Genomic DNA, 23,257 nt, shown 5'->3' on the forward strand with positions numbered 1-23,257 from the left:
GCTACTTGGGAGGCTAAGGCAGGACACTCACTTGAACCCAGGAGGTGGAGGCTGCAGTAAGCTGAGATCGTGTCAGTGCACTCCAGCCTAGGCGGCCGAGAGAGACTCTGTCTCAAAAACAAACAAACAAACAAAAAACACTAAACACGAGATCTGCCTTCTTATATTTTGAAGTTCACAATACTGTATTGCTAACTGTTGTATAGCTGGTCTCTAGAACATATGCATCTTGCATAACCGAAACTTTACACCCACTGGACAACAACTTTCCATTTCCCCCATGCTCCAGCTCCTGGCAACTATTGAATTCTCTGTTTCTATGAGCTTGACTATTACAGAGACCTCACAGAAGCACGATCATGCAATATTTGTCCCTCTGTGATGGGCTTGTTTCACTTCGAATAATCTCCTTCCATGTTGTCACAGATGGCAGGATTTCCCTCTTTTTAAGACTGAGTAATATCCCACTGTACGTATATGCCACGTTTATCTATTTATCTGTCAGTATCAAGTTAGATCTTGAAGAATAAATAGGAGCTTTCTAGCTGCATGTTGCTAGCTAGATGCATGAGCTGGCAAAAGTGGTGGAGTGTGGGGGACCCATTAGAGACAAGAAAATGTGGCCAGGCGTAGTGGCTCACGCCTGTAATCCCAGCACTTTGGGAGGCCAAGGCGGGTGGATCATGAGGTCAAGAGTTCGAGACCAGCCTGACCAACATGGAGAAACCCCATCTCTACTAAAAATACAGAAATTAGCTGGGCATGATGGCACGCGCCTGTAATCCCAGCTCGGGAGGCTGAGGCAGGCGGATCACCTGAGATCAGAAGTTCAAGACCAGCTGGCCAACATGTGAAACCCCATCTCTACTAAAAACACAAAAATTAGCTGGGTGTGGTGGCACATACCTGTAATCCCAGCTACTTGGGAGGCTGAGGCAGGAGAATCGCTTGAATCCGGGAGGCGGAGGTTGCAGTGAGCCGAGGTCATGCCACTGCACTCCAGCCTGGGCGACAAGAGCAAAACTCCATCTCAAAAAAAAAAAAAAAAAAGAAAAAAGTCATTAGCTGAAGTATAAGCTCATGTTAGCAGTGCTTTATCCTGACAGCAATGGCGGATGGACTTCGAAGTGGGGAAGGGGCCCTGAAGATAAAAATCCATTAGGAAGCTATTGTAATAGCCCAATGAGAGATGGCCCATCTATTGGGGCACATTTTTCTTTTACATTTGTACCATAGTAATTATGGACTTAGACTTGTTTTACATTGCCCACAAAACACACATACACACAGAAGATAATAAGTTGCTCAAAAGCAGGAAAACAAGTATCATTGCTTCACCATAGGGGACATTTATTATTTGTCTTCCCAGAATAGATCCCCTTTCTTTTATAGAAGGACTAATGTCCTATTGCAACTTTGTGGTATCCCAGGAACTATCACAATACTGAATGATCACATGACCCCATCCCAGCCAATTGGAGTTCTTCTCTTGGATTTTGTGCGCGCGCGCGCGCGCGTGTGTGTGTGTGTATGTGTGTTGCTGATGTGGGAACATGCTCTTTCCTCTCTGGTCAGGAGACTATAAAGATGTAAGCCTGGGCTACCTGTGGCCATGATTCCAGGCCCCTAGGGACTGCCAGCCTGAGAGAACAGAGTTAAGAGGGAAGGATTTGAATCCCCGGACCCAGCTGTCCAGAGGGCCTGCTTCTCTCTGGCTCTGAGTAGTTTTTGTTTTGTTTTGTTTTTTACATGAGTTACATATTTTCTACTGGTCTCTTTATTTTTTTAATTTTGCAATTTAGGGCATACACACAGACTGAGAATCTGTGGTATGTCCCTCTGCCTGTCTCTTAAGGTAGTTTTAATTAGGTCCTGTCACTTCTAGCAAAAGGCCCTGGCCTAATGTATGTACCCAGGATGGCATCCTCCCATCAGACCGAAGACAAAGACGCTGCTCAAAACACATCTGGAAAGAGAAGAGCACAGAAAAGTGGCCTGAAGAAAGAGATGTCCAAACCAAGCACAATTTGACAGGCCCCACCTGTTGCTGCCAGGCACCAGGCAGTTTTCCTTAGATCAGGTGGACCAGAGAACTGCCCCACACTTAGGGAGTGCCCCCTCTTCACATATGCTAGATGCTATCCTCACTTGCCATGGGAAAAGGCATTCTTATTCACAAACCCCACCATGACTAGGCCTGCCCAGAGGGTCCTCTTTTCTGTCTTTCCAAGTTTCAAAAATGCAAGAGAACTATGAAAGATAGTCAGCAAAGAATACTTTTCCAGCAAGGTACAGAGGAAGCACTTGAATACATTCAAGGAACTATGATCTCCTGGCTCCCACCACCAACCCACTTCTGGCTGAGCTAGCTCCGGTGTGCACCTCAACAGAGAAGCCTCCCTGATTACTGTTTTAAAGAACAAGCTGTTCCTACCCACATCCCCTGCTGGTACTCTCGTAGCCAACCTGGCATTATTTTCTCCACCTCTGATTATCACTGAATGTAGTATTCATATCTTAATTTTGTGTCCCCCAACCCAACCGGAATGTAAGCTCCTGGGGGCCAAGGACTCTCAATTCTGTTCACTGTTCTATTCCCAACACTTAAGACAGTACCTGCCACATGCTGTGTTTTCAATAAATATCTGTTTAATAAATGGAAGTGCAATGATCCAAGACTGGGAGCAAGTTAATAGCATTTTGTGATTGAGTGAGTAGGCTGAGGAGAGATCTGACTTCAGGTCTCCAGGAGCTTAAAATGAGCAAGAACTTGATATGCTCCATCTTCAGGTGGACTAAAAGAAGAAATGGGACCAATAGGACTCATAAGGCTTTTAGGTCCAAGCTAGTGGTAGAGTGTGGGGACAGCTACTGTTTTTGCCTACCTAACATGCACTCACCCTTCTGACAGCAACCCTTGATTTTCTTTGTGTCTACCCCAACCTAATTTTGGAGGTAAGCAGATGACCTAATTTAACCAATCAGCAGCAGCAGCAGACTCCACACCTTTACTCATAGTGATTGCTTTTTGTCTGGACACATGATCTAATTCAGGCAATAAGAATCAATCCCATGACTTTTGCCAAAGCAAAAGGGAAAAAGAAACTCCTTCCAGGGCCAGGCATGGTGGCTCACATCTGTAATCCCAGCACTCTGGGAGGCCAAGGCAGGAGGATTGCTTGAGTCCAGGAGCTTGAGACCAGCCTGGGCAACATGGTAAAAAAAAAACAACAAAAAAAACCCATCTCTACAAAAAATACAAAAAGTACCTGGGCATGGTGGCATGCACCTGTGGTCCCAGCTACTTGGGGGGCTGAGGTGGGAGGATTGCTTGAACTCAGGGGGTCGAAGCTGCAGTGAGCTGTGATCGTGCCACTGCACTCCAGCCTGGGTGACAGAGAAAGACCCTGTCTCAAAACAAACAAACAAAACCTCCCTCCACAGGGACACTGCTAGCAGGAAAGATGATGAAGCTTGGAGCTGCTGGAGTCATCACCTGAATCTGAGAATAAAGCTAACAGAGGAGAGCACCACAGACACGTCAAAGGACCAGCTTGAGTTACCTCCCTGGAAGTGACCATGTCTGCAGGTACTGGAAATTTCAATCATGTGAGCCAATAAATTCCCCTCTTCTGGGGAAACACATGGAAATGGGTTTCTGTCACAACTGAAATCATCCTGACCAATGGATTTAGGGCTCTGAAGAACAAAAAGGAAATACATCATTAGGGCTCTTAAATGCCTCAAAGGGAAGCCTAACGTCAGGCAGGGTGTCCCAGAAATGCAATCTAACACCTTTTGGTGAAACTCATTGCCTGTCTTTTTGGTGAGTAGGATGGGAGCTGCGGAGAAAAAGGCCATGCTACTTTTATTAAGTATTTGCAGTTACATTTTGCAAATGATTTCAGCAACTTTATCTCAGGTGTTTTAACATCTCAGCATCTCACAGTTGTAAGAAACAGAATCAATCTTCTACTCAGTGCAGAGGGGGAGAGAGCATGATATAGCAAAAAGAGCACTGAACCAGAGTCTAACAATCTGGCTTTTCATCTTTATCTGATCACTGATTAGAGTGTGGTCTCAGACAAATCACCTTGCTTTTATTGGTCTCATGACTACCTCGTCTTCAAGCACTCACCCAACTCTGCAATGGAAAATACACTAGGACAGAGGTTCTTAATTTTTTATGGGGCCTGGGCCCTAGGAAAACACACACTGCACACATGATTTTACGTTGCATGGGGTTCACAACTCTAGAAGCCAATCTACATCTCTAACTTCTCTGCTTTACAGTAACACCAGCTTCTGCTTGAGCGCTCCTCCAGTGGGAGGGAGCTCACTACTCACAAGGAAGCCCATTGTACTACTGAACTGTACTAGAAAAATAAGTTATTCTTCATATATATATATATTTTTTGAGATGGAGTCTCACTCTGTCCCCCAGGCTGGAGTGCAGTGGCGCAATCTCGGCTCACTGCAATCTCCGCCTCCCGGGTTCAAGCGATTCTCCTGCCTCAGCCTCCTAAGTAGCTGGGATTACAGGCACGCGCCACCACGCCTGGCTAATTTTTTGTATTTTTAGTAGAGACGGGGTTTCACCACATTGGTCAGGCTGGTCTCGAACTCCTGACCTCAGGTGATCCACCCACCTCAGCCTCCCAAAGTGCTGGGATTACAGGCGTGAGCCACCGCCCCTGGCGTTCTTCTTCATATCAAACCAAGTTCTATACACTGTAATTTCTACTCATTGGTCGAAGTTCTCAATGGCAAATCAGAAAAATTGTGTTCTCGCCTGTATATGACATCTCTTCCTCTCTCTCTCTGAAGACTGTTTCTAACTAAAAAATGTAGATGATTCGCCATGCAAATTATTTTACTGTACATTGTTACAAAGATAAGTTCTTCACCTCACCCCTAATATGCCAAATGTTCAAATGTAGATGCTGAAGTCCAAATAAGCACACTGCTATTAATCTGCATAGATCTAGGTGTTGCAAAGAGGAGAACTGCTGTATAACAATATCTTGAAAGAAACAGCATAGTATTTTGGGGAAAGCACTGCATTCAGAATCAGAAGACTTGGAGTAATACTCGGTCTCACATTCCAACTACCTGTGTATCCTTGGGCACGTCACTTAACTTCTCTCAGCCTGGTTCTCTTCTGCAAAATGCGACAGGAATACAGTGAGGATTAAGTGAAATAATGTTTGTAAGCTTCTAGGGCAAGGCTGGGACATAGCAAATTCTCAATAAATAAGTGCCAGCTCCCGCGCTCAGCAGGCTCCGAGTTTTATTCGATGCGCTCGGCGCTCTTGGTCGAGCGGGATTCCCCCTCCGGAGCCCGAGTCTGCGCTCTGGGCTCGACTGAGGCTCCCTGGCCGCTCGCGCTTTTCTCTCCTTCTCCAAGATGGCGGCGATCGGCGGCGTTGAGGCGGGATCCGGGCGAGCCGAGTGAAGGTAGCGGCGAGCGGAGACCCCAGGAGACCGGGCTGGGCCCCCACCCTGAGGCGGCAGCAGCCCCGCCCCGTCGCCACCCGCCGCCCTGGGCCCGCGACATCACCTCTGGGGTGCCCCAGGCCCTTCGCGGCCTAGCCCAGGGGCCGAGCCGGGGACTGGAGTAGCGGCCGCAGCCGCCCCCAGGAAGGGGCTGGAGCGGGCAGAAGGAGGAGGGCGGGCGGGAGCTGTTCAAACGGGGAAGGCGGGAAAGCTGCGGGGCCGGGAGGGGGCGTGCGGCCGCCCCGGGGGCCTGCGGACCCGGGCCGCCCCTCCCCCTGCCCGGGCCGTCTCCGCCCTCGGGGGCGCCGTGAGGCCGCCGGAGACGCGGGAACCCGGGTTCAGGTCGAGCTGTGCGGCTCGGAACCCGCGATGCGGGGGTCCCTCGGGCTGTCAGGGGGAAAGGGCTCGTGGCCGCGGCCACGGGAGGGCTGGGGCTGCGGCTGGCAGGAGAAAGTACGAGGAGCTTTCTTCTTTTCCTCTTCACAGAGCTTTGTTGAGCTAGCTGTTGCCGCAAAACTGCCGGGAGAATCCCACTGGTTTGCCTTGGGGACCACAAAAATGGTGGTCCTGGGGGCTGTTTGTGTAAATCACCTGGTATTTTGTGTGTTTCTTGCGTGCAACCCGGCTTGGCCGTGCCTTCGTGGTGGGCGCCTTCTCCATGCAGGCCCATTTTCCCTCCACCAACTACTACTTGTAGATTCACTTTATAGCGTGCAAAAGCGGAGAAACATCTCTGTCCCCTCTTTTGGAGGGCTAAGCTGGTGGCTGATTATATTTCCTCCTAATAGAACAAAGTAAAAAACTGAATCCCAAATAAAGCCTGTTGATTGGACAAGGCTTCTCAAAATTCGATTGCTGGTCTTATGGAATGTGTGTTGTCAGCCAATCTGTGCGGTGGTCGTGGTTCCGCTTAATTGCACTGCAATGAGAGGATTCAATCCCCATCCCCGACTGTCGGGATCTCTGCAGCTTCCAGAGCTGGCAGGGGCTGGGAGTGCTGCCTAGGTAGGTCCCTGGAGAAGGGAGTGGCAAGAGGATTCGGAGTCACCGTGTTCGGAGATTGGAAGAAACCTGGACGAAGTTGAGAAGGCATCACTTGTCTGTATCGTAGAAGTAACAAGAAAATTTCAGAAATTGGCAACCGGCGGATGTGCATCTTCCTTTACCTGCACTGACTGGCATTTTGAGTTCTTGAAAGGAGTGGTTGGAAGAAGAGAATGCAGAATCTTGGACATGGCTCTCATCCTGGAACAGACCTGGAGTTCAGAATTTCTCTTACTGTCCGTGTGACGGGGCTTACTTTGTTTCCTTTTTTTCGATACTCATTTACATTATGGGGTGAAGAAGGTTGTTGATTGCAGGAGCTCAAGTTACCTCAAAAAAAGTCTGAAACCTGTTTTTTAACTGTAATTTGAAGTTTCAAAATGACAAAGTGCTATATCTGAGGACTTTTTCCTCCTGATTACTTTGGTCATCCCAAAGGCCTATGCCTGAACATAACTTGTATGCTTATCTACCAGGGAAAGAGCAACTCTGCCCCCTCCTTTTTCATATCCTGAAGAAAAGTCCCCGAAGAGCTATTTAACAATTTGTGCATTTCATAAGTATACATTTTTATGGTACCAGTTTTTTACTTGTATCAACAGTATGAAATAGTGAACTTTTACTTATGTTGTCATATCTTAGCACACTGAGACAAACAAAATTATTCTTGCCTCTTGGAGTTGACAACATTGAATTTTATAAACTCCCAAATTATTGAATTGAGACTGGGTTTTAACACCTGTTTCACATTTGCCAACATTTAATGTAATTATGACCTCCCTTTTCTAATGTGAAAATCAAACCTAATATTCATTTTCATTAATCCTCACAATCTACTCTCTACCCCTGAACTCTGAATTTTCACAGATTGTATTCAAGACCTGGAAGGAATATCAGGGGTTCATCTGATCTTATATAAATGTTGCCTGAACTCTGCCTTTCTTTCACACTGTTGCTTGAGATTTATCTGGTATCTTTCCAAAACTAAACCCTGAGCTGCAATAATATCCTGATTTTAAAGAACGTAGAAATTCAGGGCCCATCGGTCTGCCCAAGCTGTGGCTGATACAGTCCGTTGTGTTTAATTTTAGTTTTTCAAGCTCTTGGCTGCCCCAGTTCTTCAGTGAATTGGACGTGTCTTCAGGCCTCATTCCTTCTTTTTTCTTCAGGTTATTTAATCCAGTAATTTATAAAATGCTCTTCAGTGTTTTTAAGAAAATTTAAACAGTGGTAGACCTAATATATGTAATGCCAACACCACATTTTCTTGGTTGGCCTGTGCCTCTGAGAAGCAGTTCCTAATTTTCTATTCCCTCTCACAACTTTTTAATCCACTAGTTTTTTAAAGCAGCCAGTAACGAGACCACGATACAGTCATCTTTCTTTCTTTCTGTCTTCAGAGGTACTTATTTCTATTCTGTTAGGTTGCCCAACTCTGTTTTATGTTGATTTTGATGTTACCAAAGGGAAGGCCTGTTATAAGTCTCAGGACCAGCCTTTGCTTACATATACAAGTGCATTTTGTTGTTGACAAAACACTGATGACTGTATTTATGACATTGAATATTTAAGTTTTTTGCCATTATTTCTGAAATATTCTTTGCCAAAATTCATGCACAGAAAGTGTTTAATTTGAGGTCTCCATTGGTTCTTGGCATTATCAGCCTATGAAAATCTATATAATCTATATATTTTTCTTATAAACTCAGTATTTTAGTGCCATTGAGAGGATATGCTGTTTTCAAATAAATTGATATAATTCCCTGTATTTCCCTTCTACCTGCACCCCTTTTGGAGTCAGCACCACTTGGGTGGAAAGGGGAGGACAGTAGTTTCCGCTGAGAAAGTGTCATCCTTAAATGCTGGAACATGGAAAACTGGCTACATTATGTATCTTGCCTCCTCACATTTTTATCTGAGGCCTGACCTTATGTCCCCTTCGTTTCCTATGAAAAGGCCCTTCGAACAGGCAGTTCTCCAATTGAACTTTAAAACAATCCAGTTAATATAGTTTCATTACTCTAGCTTCTCTTACTTTGACCAAATCCATTCTTTATTTCACTTCTCAGAGAAGTGAAGAAATGCTTTTTTATGTTTCTTTTCTTAATCTAATAAATCATTCTTGGTAATGCTTCATTTTCCCATTTAGGCCTACCTGTATGTACATTGTATTTTATCTGATTGTGCAAATAAGTCTTTTTAATGTAACTCTTATGAAAGTCTCCCTTGTTAATCAAATTCATCTTTTCTTTCACAAAAGTTCCATGCTTCAGTATTGTCCACAGCTACCTGAAGGAATTAGTAATGTGTCATTTAAGTGTCCTTCAGTATTTCTAAATACCCTTATAATAATGAAGGTAAAATTAAATTTAAATAAATGATCAATTAGATTAACTTTGTAAGCATCTGACTTAATTGGATGAGAACATTTCCAAAATATTTAATATGTAATTTTAAAATTCCTGAAGGACTTATGAAATTGCTTGTTCTTAAAACATTTAAAGAACTTTACCTTGGCTGGGCGCGGTGGCTCACGCCTGTAATCCCAGCACTTTGGGAGGCCGAGGTGGGTGGATCACGAGGTCAAGAGTTCAAGACCAGCCTGGCCAAGATAGTGAAAACCCATCTCTACTAAAAATACAAAAATTAGCCAGGCTCGGTGGCAGGCGCCTGTAATCTCAGCTACTCGGGAGGCTGAGGCAGGAGAATCGCTTGAACCCGGGAGGCGGAGGTTGCAGTGAACCAATATCGTGCCACTGCACTCCAGCCTGGGCAACAGAGCAAGACTCTATCTCAAAAAAAAAAAAAAAAATCCTTTTACCTTACAGTGCATTTTATAGCATTGTCATCTTCAAAGTCAAAATGGACATATAAACTCAAATGCCAAAAAAGGTTGTAAAAATTCAATAAAAAATACAATATCTAGAACATTTAAATTATAGCAATTCTTATTAGTGAAGGTCTTAATAATCATAAAAGTTTTATGACCAGTGGACAAATGATAAATGTCTCCCTATTTTCACCTAGCCTTTAAGAAAGCCTTGGTGGTGGTGACAGCTGTCATATGGTCAACTGATGTAAGGAGTGTACCTGCTTTTACAGTTACATAAATTTGAACAAATTCATGTCGCCCCCCCCAAAAAATGCAAAAGACATTGTGCTCTAAAGATATTTAACATCCCTATACAGTTAATCATTTCTGTTTAAATTACAATGCAATAGATTTTACCGCTTCACCAATCCAGTTGGTAGGATTTTGTGGTCTTCAAATGTTTGATGTGATCTGTCTTCTCTGCATCTTGCTTTACTTGTGTATGTTGTAACCATGATTGAACCTATCCCTCTAACTTAATGTTGGTTTCTACCCTGTCTCAGTGTTGTCAGTCCTGTTGGCATTTTAGAAATTCTCATTAATTTTGAAAATATTTTTTGTATTGGAGGTATTTTATATACTTCCCCAAATGACAACTTTAATTCATGACTGAAATCTAATTAAGCCTAGTATACTTCCTGCAGTATCAACCCCACTGTATTTACAAAGAGAATGAGGAGGTGACAAGACACTTTTTATTTCTTGCTGCCCTTCCAGTCAGCCCTTGGATCACTGCGCATTTCCATCTGGAAGGTTGCTTCTCCTCAGTGATTTCGCATTACAGGAGGGTTTTCCTTCTTTGTTTCTCAGACCTGGTCCTGTAGACGGGAAGGAGCCTGGACACAGTGACACATTCTCAAAGGCCCTGCAGGACCACCATGGCTTATGATGACTCCGTGAAGAAAGAAGGTATGACCCCATAATCTGAGAAGCATTCCAAAGGGGGTATCCTCTTCAATCCTTGCAGCCCATGGATATAGAGACCAGGACTGGGCACCACAGCCTGGACTCCCAAGTGATGGTCCAGAGCACTGTTATGACACTCAGCCTCCACGCCATCCCCAGACTGGGCCCATGGAAACGAAAACCAGGACAGGGGTTCCAACACGAGAGTCTGAAATATGAGTCTCTTAGTTTATTGGGGTGATCCCCTGCAGCACTCTTGGTCCTTGCCAGCTCCAGTGTGCAGGAGTCTGGGGATAGGAATCACATCCTGGACTCCCACAGAGAGCAGCACAGCACATGAATCCTTATTCTTTTCAGCCTTTCGTCTGCAAGTCTGTGTCCTCCTACCAAATCACAACTCAGAAACCATATCTGAGGTTGCACATGGGGCCTTTGCATAGCATGGAAACATTGTTTCTTCAGGTTTGATTCTTGTATTTGCAGCTAGGTCATCAAGAAATATTCTGTTCCCCTGGGTCTAGCCCTGTATTTCAGTGGACTTGATTGAAACATTGTTTTAATTTGGAAATAGAGGAACTGTTGCATTACCTGCATGACGATTTGGTCATTACTTACTTGACTTTCTCATTTCCTTTCCCAAATAAACCTGTGCTTCTCAGATTGTTTTGATGGTGATCATACCTTTGAGGACATAGGACTTGCAGCTGGCCGAAGCCAACGAGAGAAAAAACGTTCTTACAAAGATTTTTTAAGGGAAGAGGAAGAAATTGCTGCTCAGGTCAGGAATTCTTCCAAGAAGAAGTTGAAGGTAAGTCCTGAAAATTTAAATTAGGAAAGTCTTAAACTACTCATTTTTTTTTGGTGATGCAGAGTTTTTTTTTGTTTTTTTTTTTTTTCTCTCATGGCCCAGGCTTGAATGCAATGGCACAATCTCTGCTCACTGCAACCTTCGACTCCCAGGTTCAAGCGTTTCTCTTGCCTCAGCCTCCCGAGTAGCTGGAATTACAGGCGCGGGCCACCACGCCTGGCCAATTTTTGTATTTTATCAGAGACAGGGTTTCACCATGTTGGCCAGGCAGGTCTCAAACTCCTGACCTCAAATGATTCACCTGCCTCCGCCTCCCAAAGTGCTGGGATTACAGGCCTGGGCCACTGCGCCAGGAAAGTCTTAAACTACTTCTTACCATATTTCCTAATATTTGAAGAAGGAAGTATTTTTTAATAACTTGAGAAAAGAAAAATAAAACGTTATGCACATCTATTTTTATTATTTCTTGTGCTTTGTTTCCCAAAATCAAAAATCATCAAAGACAAGAGTGGTTACAAACTGCATTTGCCTCATCATCTTATTATTGGTCAATTCTTCTTTAATTATAGGATAGTGAACTTTACTTCTTGGGGACGGACACACACAAGAAGAAGAGGAAGCACTCCTCTGATGATTACTACTATGGAGGTGAGGATGGGAATGGGCAACAGGTGGGATAAACACATCGCTGGTTCTTGGAGTCGGGGTAGGGGAAAGGGATCCAGATGTTGCTGACTCAGTGGCCTATTTAACAGGACAGTGGTTCTTGTTCTGAGTGCCGATAAACCAGTGTGAAGGAGGAGAGAGGTGGAGGGCTGGTATTTTGGAGGATTCAGCATAGAAGAACAGTCTGCATTTGTGATACACCAGGTACCAGGTTCCTTCTCCCCCCAATCATCCACTTATCTTGTGCCCATTGTTATCTAGCATCCCTTTTGCCATACGTAGTCCTCTGGCCTGCACCTGTGGGTCACTTCTCAACCAGTATATATCCACTCACAGAACCAGTTTTCTTAGCTATGTTATGCACATAGCTGATGAGACTCAACTTTCACCAGAATGGGTTTGTCCTGAACACAGAAACAAATGATACTCTGTCTGCAATCTGAATTGTTAACTTCCCATAATCCCACAGCTATAGTCAGTTCTTCTGGGTATGTGCTCTTTGGTTGCTTCTGAAGACTCAATGAAGAGAAACAACTTTAGTGGCAAGAACTGTGTCCAGGGTCAGAGGCAGACTCTACCAAGCCAAGAAGCACAAGGGCATCATTTCTCAATGTTAGGAATCAGTTAAAGGGTCTCCCTTCAAATCATTCCTGTTAGCCTCTTTCTCATGTTAGCTAGGTGCTTTTGATGAGAGAGGAAACTTGTTAGAAGTTGCTTCCCATCATATTGACAGTACTTCTCTTGATTATTTCTAGATATTTCGTCTTTGGAATCGTCACAGAAGAAAAAGAAAAAGTCCAGCCCACAGTCTACTGATACAGCTATGGACCTGTTGAAAGCTATCACTTCCCCACTGGCAGCAGGCTCCAAGCCCTCCAAAAAGACTGGGGAGAAATCCTCTGGCTCTTCAAGCCATTCGGAGAGTAAAAAGGAGCACCACAGGAAGAAAGTCAGTGGAAGCAGTGGGGAACTACCCCTAGAGGATGGTGGCTCCCACAAATCGAAAAAAATGAAACCTCTCTATGTGAACACAGAGACACTGACCCTTCGGGAGCCTGATGGTTTAAAAATGAAACTTATTCTGTCACCAAAGGAGAAGGGAAGCAGCTCTGTTGATGAGGAGTCTTTTCAATATCCCTCCCAACAAGCGACTGTGAAAAAATCCTCAAAGAAATCAGCTCGGGATGAGCAGGGTGCTTTACTCCTAGGACATGAGTTACAGAGCTTTCTGAAAACAGCCCGGAAAAAGCACAAGTCATCCTCAGACGCACATTCATCTCCTGGCCCTGAAGGCTGTGGGTCTGACGCCTCCCAGTTCGCAGAGTCCCACAGTGCTAACCTTGATCTTTCAGGGCTTGAACCTATTCTGGTAGAATCAGACTCATCCTCTGGTGGGGAACTAGAGGCTGGGGAGTTAGTGATAGATGATTCTTACCGAGAAATCAAGAAGAAAAAGAAGTCAAAGAAGAGCAAAAAGAAGAAAGACAAGGAGAAGCATAAAGAGAAGCGACACTCCAAGTCCAAGAGAAGTTTAGGACTTTCTGCCGTGCCAGTGGGAGAGGTCACAGTGACATCTGGCCCTCCTCCCAGCATCCCATACGCTGGAGCAGCAGCACCTCCCCTGCCACTTCCTGGCCTCCACACAGATGGGCATAGTGAAAAAAAAAAGAAAAAAGAAGAGAAGGACAAAGAGAGAGAGAGAGGAGAAAAGGTAAAGCATCTTTTAAGTGTGGTGGGGGTAAGAGATTAAGCAGGTTCTTCCTGGGTAGTCAGTGGACTTTTAAGTTAAGCAGTTGAGGTAAACCACTGGGAATTAAGCATGTTTGGGGGATATGTTGGAATGATATAAAGTATAAAATATTACCAGTAGCCCAGTCTGTCTGATATAGAAGCAATCTTTTTTTTTTTTTTTGAGATGGAGTCTCGCTCTGTCGCCCAGGCTGGAGTGCAGTGGTGCAGTCTGGGCTCACTGCAACCTCCTCCTCCCAGGTTCAAGCCTCACCCTCCCAAGTAGCTGAAATTACAGGCACCCGCCACCACACCCGACTAATTTTTTTTTTTTTTTTTTGTATTTTTAATAGAGACGAGGTTTCACCATGTTGGCCAGGCTGGTCTCAAACTCCTGACCTCAAGTGATCCACCCACCTCAGCCTCCCAAAGTGCTAGGATTACAGGCATGAGCCACCATGCCCGGCCTAGGGTTTCTTAATAGAGTTATTCTCCCATTGTGCCAGGAATAGGTTTAGTTACACTGTGGCTTTTTCCAGCTAGTTCTTAGAATTCACAGAAGGAGCTAAACCCAATTTCTTTCACTTAGCATCACTGTCTGCTTAGGGCAGTTGGGAGATGTCAAAAGGTGTTCTTTGAGTTCATTTTTAAAAACAGACTATCAAAATTGGTAGAACAATGAGCAGTCAAGTTAACAGAATAGCTAATGACTTTCCACCAGCTGGTGTTGGCTACTTTCTGGTATTCTTTTTAGTGTCGAATATATGTTCTTTTACTGTCTGAGTGCTTGCTGTATGCCAAGCTCAATGCTGTAGATAGTACCAGGAAGTAAAAACACAAGCAGGACATAGTTGTTGACTTTAGGGAGCTCACTGTTGATTAGGGAGATAGGAATGATAAATCAGTCACCTTGGTTTGATTTCTTTCCTCATAACAGTTTCTGGCAGTGAACTTTAGGGTCTCATAACTATGTCATTAAAAGTTTCTTTTTTTATTTATAGTTCTGCAAAATGCAATGTCAGATAAAATCTGGAAGAAAAGCGACTAAGAACGAGAAAATCAAATGTATTAAGAATCTGGGGCTGGGTGTGGTGGCTCATGCCTGTAATCCCAGCACTTTGGGAGGCTGAGGCAGGTGGATCCCTTGAGCCCAAGAGTTCGGGACCGGCCTGGGCAACATAGCGAAACCCAGTCTCTACAAAAAAATACAAAAATTTGCCTGGTGTGGGGGTGCACATCTATAGTCCCAGCTACTCAGGAGATTGAGGTGAGAGGATTGCTTAAGCCCAAGAGGTGGAGGCTACAGTGAGCTATAATCTTGCCACTGCAACTTCAGCCTGGACAGCAGAGTGAGGCTCCCTGTCTCAAAAGAAAAAAGAAAAGAATCTAGGAATGGGAATTTAGTTTGATCTCTGAGGTGGAAGTTATTTCTCCACTATAAAGGGTGCCTTTTAAGAAAGTCTGCTTATATCTATCTGTTTATATCTATCTGTAGATCTATATCTGTTTATCAGTATGTGTGTGTGTATATATAATATATATAAAATAATATATTATATATATATACACACACACATCTGTTTATCTCAAAAAAACCACAAAGCTGTACCTCTGAGCCAGGAATCAGTGTGAACATAAAGACCTGGATATTCCAATACTAAGTCAGGTTTTATTCAGTTGTTTATTTGGAAAATTGCTTTATGAAATAAACACTATGTGTTCTTTATAAGATTCTGTTTATCCTAAGAATTTCCAGTCTAGTGACGTGATAATGCCATGGACTAATCATCCAGTGCTGAATGTCGGAGCACAGGGTCAGGGAAAGCTTGAAGAAGGAGAAGGTTTCAGTGGAAGTGGACGCATGGAGGCAGAGAGATGTTCAGGAAGCAGCAGAGTAAAATAACTATAACTGAACTCTACTTGTGCAATTCCAGCTGCCTGCTAAATATTTCTACTTGAATGCCTTGGGTACCTCAAACCCTTATGTCACTAATTGACATGACCTAGCTACACCTTCTGTATTCCCAGTATCCCGCCAGTCAACCCAAACTCAAAACTGAATGCTTATCGCTTTTCTCAACATTTTATTATGAAATTTTTCAGACAAAAAGGATTGAAAGAATTCTGTAATGAAAACTGTATCTCCTCCACCAGGAGTTTACAGTTAATATTTTCTTTTTGCTTTATCATATACCTGCCCATCCTTTCATCCACCAGTCCATGTTATCTTTCTTAATGTATCTCAAAGTAAATTGCAGGTATCATACATTTCACCCCTAAACACTTCAGTTTGCATATCATTAACCTGAGTTCAATATTTGTTTTCAGGAATTTGTAAATATGAAATTTACATATAGGGAGGCTGAGGCAGGAGAATCGCTTGAGCCCAGGAGGCAGGTGCTGCAGTGAGCCAAGATCACGCCACTGCAGTCCAGCCTGCGCGACAGCGTGAGACTCAGTCTCAAAACCATAAAGATAAAATTTACATAGGGTGAAATGCATAGATATTGAGTATGTGATGAGTTTTGATAGATGCACACACCTGTGTGATCAAACCTCTATCAAGATACAGACATTACCATCATCCCAGAGAGCTCTCTTGTACCCCTCTCCAATCCATCCCCAACCCCAGAGCCAACAACTGTTCTGATTTTTTCCAGTCTTATCGTTCACTTTTACATTTCCCCCTTCCCTACTCCCCTCCAACTATTTCTGCACAAATATTAAGCTTGATAGTCTTCCTCCTTAATATCTTTCAAGCCTTTAGCTCCTCCATTACCATTGCCACTGTCTTAGGCCTCATTCCCTTCTACACTTACTGTAATAAGTAGCTTTTTTTTTTATTCTACCGTGCAGTTAATCTCACACATTGATGCTAGAGTAATCTTAATCTTAAGTAGCACCTTGATGACGGCAGTCCTGTGTTCTGCATCTTCAGTGGATTCTTACTGCTTTTTTGGTAGACTCTAAGCTCCAAGAGGACCAGGACCACGTCTGTCTTGCTATCCCTAGTGTATAACCTGCCATCTGGCCTATTGTAGACAGTCAGTAAATACTTGTCAAAGGAATAAATATCAGGTAAGTTGAAACCTTAGCCAAACATTCATTAAGTGTCTGGATTTAGCCTAATCCTCCCTTTTCAGCTTTACCTCTTATTAGTCTATTAAACATACACTGTATGGAAATCAGACTTGTTTCCCATACATTCTTACCTCTATTCCTTTGCTCATTTTTTACAGTGACCTTCCTCTTCTTACATATTGAAGCTCTGCCCTCTTTGCAAGACCTAATCAAATGCCACCTCTTCTAAGACATTCTGTACACCCCTCATTAGAATTAACGTCTAAACTCCCATATTACCTTGCTGTCTTACTGCACTTATTTTCTTCCTTATATTGGCATTATCTTTGTACATATTCTGTTTCCCTTATTAAAGACTATAAGGGAAGACTGATGCTTAGAATTCATAGAAGGAGCTGGGTGCAGTGGCTCACACCTGTAATCCCAGCAGTTTGGGAAGCAGAGGCAGGTAGATCACTTGAGGTCAGGAGTTGGAGACCAGCCTGGCCAACATGGTGAAACCCCCATTTCTACTAAAAATACAAAAATTATCTGGGTGTGGTGGCATGCGCCTGTAATCTCAGCTGCTCTGGAGGCAGAGGCAGGAGAATTGCTTGAACTTGGGAGGCAGAGGCTGCAGTGAGCCGAGATTGTGCCACTGTACTCCAGCCTGGGTGACAGTGTGAGACTGTCTCAAAACAAACAAACAAAATAGAATTCATAGAAGGGGCTACACCCAATTTCTTTAACTTAGCAGCACTGTCTGCTTGGGGCAGAATGTAAGCTCCTTTACCACCTTATAGTATCTTCAACTCTTCAATGTCCTTAATAAGCACTTTGTAAGTATATGTCGAATGAATATGTGGATGAAAACATAGTACTGAAAAGGTAGGTTGGGAGCAAATTGTAGAGAATCTTAAATGCCAAAGTAAAGGACTTGGCAGCAGGCAGTTTGGGGTTTATAAGCAAGGTTTATTTATGATCTAAATGATAAGAATAAAATGATAGAGTTGTACAAGGTGGATTAGAGTAGGGAGAGACGAATAACCAAGGGAGTTACTATAGTCCAGAAGGTTAGTAATGAAAATCTAAGAGACAGGAGGATCGCTTGAGTCCAAGAGTTCAAGGCTGGCCTGGGCAATCTAGCAAGATCCAGGTGTGGTGACGCATGACTGGAGTCCCAGCTACTCCTGAGGCTGAAGTGGGAGGATCAGTTGAACCCAGGAGTTCAAAGCTTCTGTGAGTTGTGATTGTGCCACTGCACTCTAACCTGGTTGACAGAGCAAGACCCTGTCTCTTTTAAAGAGAAGAAGAAAAAAAAAAGGCTTGAGAGAAATAAAATTGAAGAGGTTGATTCAAGAGAGGCTCTGAAGGAAAAATTGACAAGATCTACCTACAGCAGGGGTCCCCAGTCCCCAGACCACAGACCAGTAGCCGTCCGCGGCCTGTGGGGAACCAGCCACATAGCAGGAGTTGAGTGGCGGGCAAGCCATTGAAGCTTCATCTCTATTTACAGCCACTCCCTGTCGCTCACATTACTGCCTGAGCTCCACCTCCTGTCAGATTAGCAGCGGCATTAGATTCTCATAGGAGCACAAACCCCAGCAGGTTCCTTATGAGAATCTAATGCCCGATGATCTGTCACTGTCTCCCATCACCCCCAGATGGGACCATCTAGTTGGAAGAAAATAAGCTCAGGGCTCCCACTGATTCTACATGATGGTGAGTTGTATAATTATTTCATTATATGTTACAATGTAATACTAATAGAAATAAAAGGCATAATGTAATGAATGCACTTGAATTATCCCGAACTCTGCCCCTACCCCTGCCCCAGGTCCATGGAAAAATTGTTTTCCACGAAACCGGTACCCGGTGCCAAAAAGGTTGAGGACCGCTGACCTAGTGGGCTTGTATCTGGGAAGCCAGAAACATAAATGAGTCTAAGAAATATCTCTTCAGCTTTGAACCTAGATAACGTTGGAAAAATAGTAAGCTCTTCAAAGTTAAGGACTTATCTATAATTTGCCCATGTGGCTAGCAGTTGCTAGTGAAAAATGAATTTTAATTTATAGCAAAAACCTTATTAAGAGTTAATATCTTTGATTGTGGCTGTCCAAAAAATCTGAAGTAGTCATAATCTGAATTTAATCATTTATTTCTCCAACAAATATTTATAGTGTATATACTGTGGTTTTTAAACCTGATTTGTGCATAAAAAATTCCTATAAAGCTTTTTAAAAATATATTTTCCTGGGTTTTGTTTCACTGTAAAAAAGAACTGTATAAAAGTCAGGGACAGGCAGGCGCAATGGCATGCACCTGTAATCCCAGCTACTTGGGAGGCTGAGGTGGGATCACTCAAGCCCAAGAGTTTGAGACCAACCTAGGTGATACAGCAAGACTCTACCTCTTAATTTTTTTTTTTTTAATTAGCCAGGCATGGTGGCAAGCACCTGAGTTTCAGCTACTTAGGAGGGTGAGGCAGGAGTATTGCTTGAACCCAGGAGTTCACAACCAGCTGGGCAATATGACAAGACCCTGTCTCAAAAAAAATAAATAAAAAGTCAGGGACAAAGTCCACCCAGAGATAGAAAAGAATGATTTAGGAGTAGTGTTTCTTCAACCTACAGTGAGCAGAGACTGGAGAAACTACTGGTAGAAATGCCAAAGGCCTCTGTGCACCCCTTCTACCTTAGATTCTAGGACCAGGACTCTAATAAAAATAGAGAAGGTGAGAAGAATAGCTGGTTTGGGAGAAGAAGATAAGTTAATTGAGATCGGGAGATTCAACATAGCTAAGTCGTTGAGAGCGTGGGCTGTGGAACCCACCTGAGTTCAATTCCTGGCTCTATTCACCCACTTACAAACAATGTGATGTTGGATAAGTTACAGAACAACTCCATCTCTAAGTTGAGGATAACAGACTTGCTTCCTAGGGTTGTGAGGATTAAATGAGGCAATACATGCGGAAGTGTTCAGGGCCTCGGTGTGCCAAGGCGCTCTGGGACGCCACATCAGACTCACCAGGACAACGCTTGATATTTTAAATACATTTTGAGACAAACAACAATACTTGACATCTCTCAGATACCTTACGAACTACTAGTTCAAAGTAATTCCCAGTTTCAACAATGTATGTTACATTCTTTTCAGTAGTGCCATATCTTTTCAAAGCCAAGTGTGTGTGCTCTAGAGGTAAAAAGCAACTACCACATTGAAAACCCACATAAGCACTGTGAACCAAGAACATTGGAGAACTTTGTCTTTGCACAATGCTCAGCACATTAGTGAGCATTCAATAAATATTATAATCATCTCAGTGGCAATGGAAGTTCAAGACCCAGAATTTGGCTGGAACTTGGGTGAGAAATTGGGTGTTCATGTGTGATAAATGAAATAGGTAAATGGATAAGAGGAAATTGAGCTCAGAGCAGAATTTTGTAGAACACTTATACAGGGGCATTTATATAAGAGAAGGAAGAGGGGGCGGCTATGTTGGAGGAGAAACACAGAAGGGAGGAGAAAAACAGTTTCAAGAGTAGAACAATCTCATGCTAGAGAGGCCAAGGAGTTCAAGTGCAGTAGGTAGGAATGGAGCTGGATCAGGGGTTGAGGAAAGAGTGAGCGGTGTGGAAGTGAACGCAGCAGCGGTGGGCTCTTACTTGAGAATTTTGACTGACACAAAGAAGGGAAATTACACTATTTCCTGGGTGAAAAGTAGCCTTTCAGTTGTTTTGGAGGTGGTTTTTGTTTGGTTGGTTGGTTGGTTTTACTGGTTTTGAGTCCTGCATTCTAAGGAAGAGTAGAGAAATTATATGGTAATATCTTGATGATTTCCCACTAAAGATCATCTCATTGCAGTGGAAGCTTTTCATTTATATAGGAGGAGCAGGATACAGTTACATTTTAAATATACCTTACTTTTGGTTTTACCCCAAATAAAAGCCCATTTTTTTGTCACTTAAAATAATAGCCAGGCGTGGTGGCTCACACCTGTAATCCAGCACTTTGGGAGGCCAAGGTGGGTGGATCATGAGGTCAGGAGTTCAAGACTAGCCTGACCAACTTGGTGAAACCCCATCTCTACTAAAAGTACAAAAATTAGCCAGGCGTGGTGGCGCGTGCCTGTAATCCCAGCTACTCAGGAGGCTGAGGCAGGAGAATCGCTTGAACCCGGGAGGCGGAGGTTGCAGTGAGCCAAGATCACGCCACTGCCCTCCAGCCTGGGCAACAGCGAGACTGTGTCTCAAGAAAATAAATAAATAATATCCCGTAATGTTGCCATTTCAGAGACATGCCTTTAGTTATCTGTGTGTTTCCAAAATATGCACATTTTCTCTAAACCTAAGGCAGGGCCAGGTAGCCTAATGCCTGGCACACCCAGACATTGTTGATCTAATAAACAAAAGTCTGAAACATAACTAGACTTGTGATGCTGTTACATTAGTTCTCTCTCTGGCAAACCTGAGGCTAAGTAACAGCAACAATAAATGGTAGAAATTAGTCACTACCATCTATTGAGTGCCAGGCTCTCCTAGGCATTTTCCGAATGTTACCACTCTTGATTAATAATTATCATTAGCCCCACTGACGGAGGAAGAAGCTATAATCTTTCCACTATGCCACATGCCTTTCCACAACTTTAAGACATGGTTACTCCGTGCCATGATAGATCTTTGACTCAAATTCAGCAGACTTGGATTCTTACTCTGGTCTGCCACTTACTAGGTCTGTTCTCCTGAGATTGCTTTCTCACTTCTGCTCATTTGTAAATTGGGGTTAGATTAAATTAGGTGGTGCATGTAACATGCTTAGCACAGGGCATGGCTTAGTAAATGTCAGCTGTTACAGTTACTTTCGCTTACGTCTTAAGTTCTTCAAAAGCACAAAATATATTTGAAAACATCTTTTTAAAATTTTGTTTTCAGCCACTCATTTCACATATTAGACTAAGCAAGGAGACTATGTTTTATGCATATAATACCCTACCTTAATATAACCTCCCACCTTTAGGAACCAAATCTGTGATTACATCACATATTTGGAAAATAGTTAAGAACCAGAAAGAAAACAGGGCCTCTAAGGAGCAAAAGCAGATGTTATAAAACCTACAGCTCATTGGAGAGCTTCATCGTCACTAAAAGAAGGACCAGTGAGATGAGTCCTGTGACCTCTCTGCCTCTGTTCCTTTATGCTTAAAATGGGGAATTAGCACCCAGCCTACTTCACTTACAAGGATGTTGTGGAAATCAGATGAGGTGCCACACATGAATACACACTTGGCCTCTTCATGCGCAGTTCTGAGACTTTGCTATTCAATAGTACATATTTACTCTGCTCTTAAATCCTCCCAGGCAGTAAGGACACAAAGATGAAGATACAGTGTCTGCTCTCAAAGAGCTTTCAGTCTAGTAAAAGGTTGGAAAGGACTTGGTGTGTTGAACTTCAGCAGAGGCATGGGCGCGGAGTACTGAGAGAGTGCAAGGAAAGCCCGGAATGGCTGGCTTCCTGTGAGAGCTGTCATATGAACCAAATCTTAAGGCCAAGTAGGAATTATCAGGTGGAAAATAGGAGTAGGCACCTCAGTCATGGAATGGAAAATATCTGTGAAGTCCCTGAGACGCCAGAGGGCACAGGATGTTCAGAGAAACCCAGGAAGTTGATATGACTGAAGCAAAGTCAGCGAAAGGTATGTAGAAGGCAGGAAGAATTGCTGCCAGGCTGGCCTTCTAGGAAGGGGCAGGAGAACTGAGTAGGAATTGGCAAAGCACAATCCTAACAGCTGTACATGTAGAGTTCCTCGTATGTTCTAGGCACTACACTAGTTTTTTATCTACTATGTATCACTGAATTTTCACAAGAACCCAATGAGGTGTAGGTGTTGTCATCTCAGTTTCACAGAAATAAGCTTAAATAAACGAAATAGCATGCCCCGGGACATACCTGTTCATGGCGGAACAGGAATTAGAACCCAGGTTTTTCTGACTACAAGAGCCACGCTCATTTCAATATACAGAAAGTGGTTAAATTATATTCATTGATGTGGTGTGACAGATAGCAGAAGTATAGAGTACATGTAGAAAGATTTTCATTCAAGGTAGTTAAAATAAAAACTTTGGTGTAGAAACCTTACTTATCTGCTGGTTTTCCTTTTAGCCAGATCAGATTTGGGGATCTCAGTCAAGTTAGTTCAGAAGAGCATCAGGTGGTAAAATGGTTACAAGTCCAGGCTCCAAAGCCAGGCTGCCTGTGTTTAGTGGCCCTGCCACTCCGTGGAGCTGTGAGTCTGGATGTCAGTTTCTTCATTTTTACACTGGCAGGAATGATGGAACTTACTTCATAGGGTTGTTATGAGGTTTAAGGGAATTTCTATGGGTAAAGGTCTTACAACAGTGGCTCGTACGTAGTATTAACATCACCAAATTTCTTTTTTTTTTTTTTTTTTTTTTTTTTGAGACGGATTTTCGCTCTTGTCGCCCAGGCTGTAGTACAATGGTGCGATCTCAGCTCACTACAACCTCTGCCTCCCGGGTTTAAGTGATTCTCCTGCCTCACCCTCCCAGGTAGCTGGAATTACAGGTGCCCACCACCACACCCAGCTAATTTTTGTCTTTTTAGTGGAAACAGGGTTTCACCACCTTGGCCAGGCTGGTCTTGAACCCCTAACCTCAGGT

The 23,257-nt window shown here is 43.5% G+C and overlaps 1 protein-coding gene and 1 long non-coding RNA gene across 11 annotated transcripts in view, besides 2 other annotated features; one reads left to right on the forward strand and one right to left on the reverse strand.

Annotated features, from left to right (window-relative positions):
• The window catches only part of LOC105373017 (uncharacterized), a 28,883-nt gene extending 19,458 nt beyond the window's left edge, over positions 1–9,425 (reverse strand). For 2 of the 6 annotated variants that reach the window (XR_938209.3, XR_938211.2), the window contains exon 1: positions 5,113–5,323. This is a non-coding gene — a long non-coding RNA (uncharacterized LOC105373017). Of the gene's footprint in view, positions 1–906; positions 1,030–5,112; positions 5,350–6,087 lie in introns of those variants that run through there. The other 4 variants (XR_007068086.1, XR_938210.3, XR_007068085.1 and 1 more) reach the window with 4 other exon arrangements.
• HMGXB4 (HMG-box containing 4) overlaps positions 1–23,257 on the forward strand; it is a 54,272-nt gene that overhangs the window by 10,565 nt on the left and 20,450 nt on the right. For 2 of the 5 annotated variants that reach the window (NM_001362972.2, XM_006724101.5), the window contains exons 1-4: positions 5,393–5,457; positions 10,978–11,126; positions 11,696–11,774; positions 12,548–13,503. In NM_001362972.2, the coding sequence (NP_001349901.1) occupies positions 12,616–13,503 (888 nt within the window). In that variant the 5' untranslated portion in view covers positions 5,393–5,457; positions 10,978–11,126; positions 11,696–11,774; positions 12,548–12,615. Of the gene's footprint in view, positions 1–3,444; positions 3,590–5,392; positions 5,458–10,222; positions 10,322–10,977; positions 11,127–11,695; positions 11,775–11,881; positions 11,997–12,547; positions 13,504–23,257 lie in introns of those variants that run through there. The other 3 variants (NR_027780.2, XM_047441067.1, NM_001003681.3) reach the window with 3 other exon arrangements.
• Positions 4,687–5,187: an enhancer, noted in NCBI's record as "H3K27ac hESC enhancer chr22:35652780-35653280 (GRCh37/hg19 assembly coordinates)". NCBI's record gives its function as "activates a minimal SCP1, AML or CMV promoter by ChIP-STARR-seq in primed H9 embryonic stem cells {active_cell/tissue: H9 hESC(primed)}" and the evidence as "EXISTENCE:reporter gene assay evidence [ECO:0000049][PMID:30033119]".
• Positions 5,453–5,952: a silencer, noted in NCBI's record as "silent region_13652". NCBI's record gives its function as "represses an Ori minimal core promoter by ATAC-STARR-seq in GM12878 lymphoblastoid cells {active_cell/tissue: GM12878}" and the evidence as "EXISTENCE:reporter gene assay evidence [ECO:0000049][PMID:35858748]".

Source organism: Homo sapiens, chromosome 22, assembly GCF_000001405.40.
Source record: "Homo sapiens chromosome 22, GRCh38.p14 Primary Assembly".
NCBI lineage: Eukaryota > Metazoa > Chordata > Mammalia > Primates > Hominidae > Homo > Homo sapiens.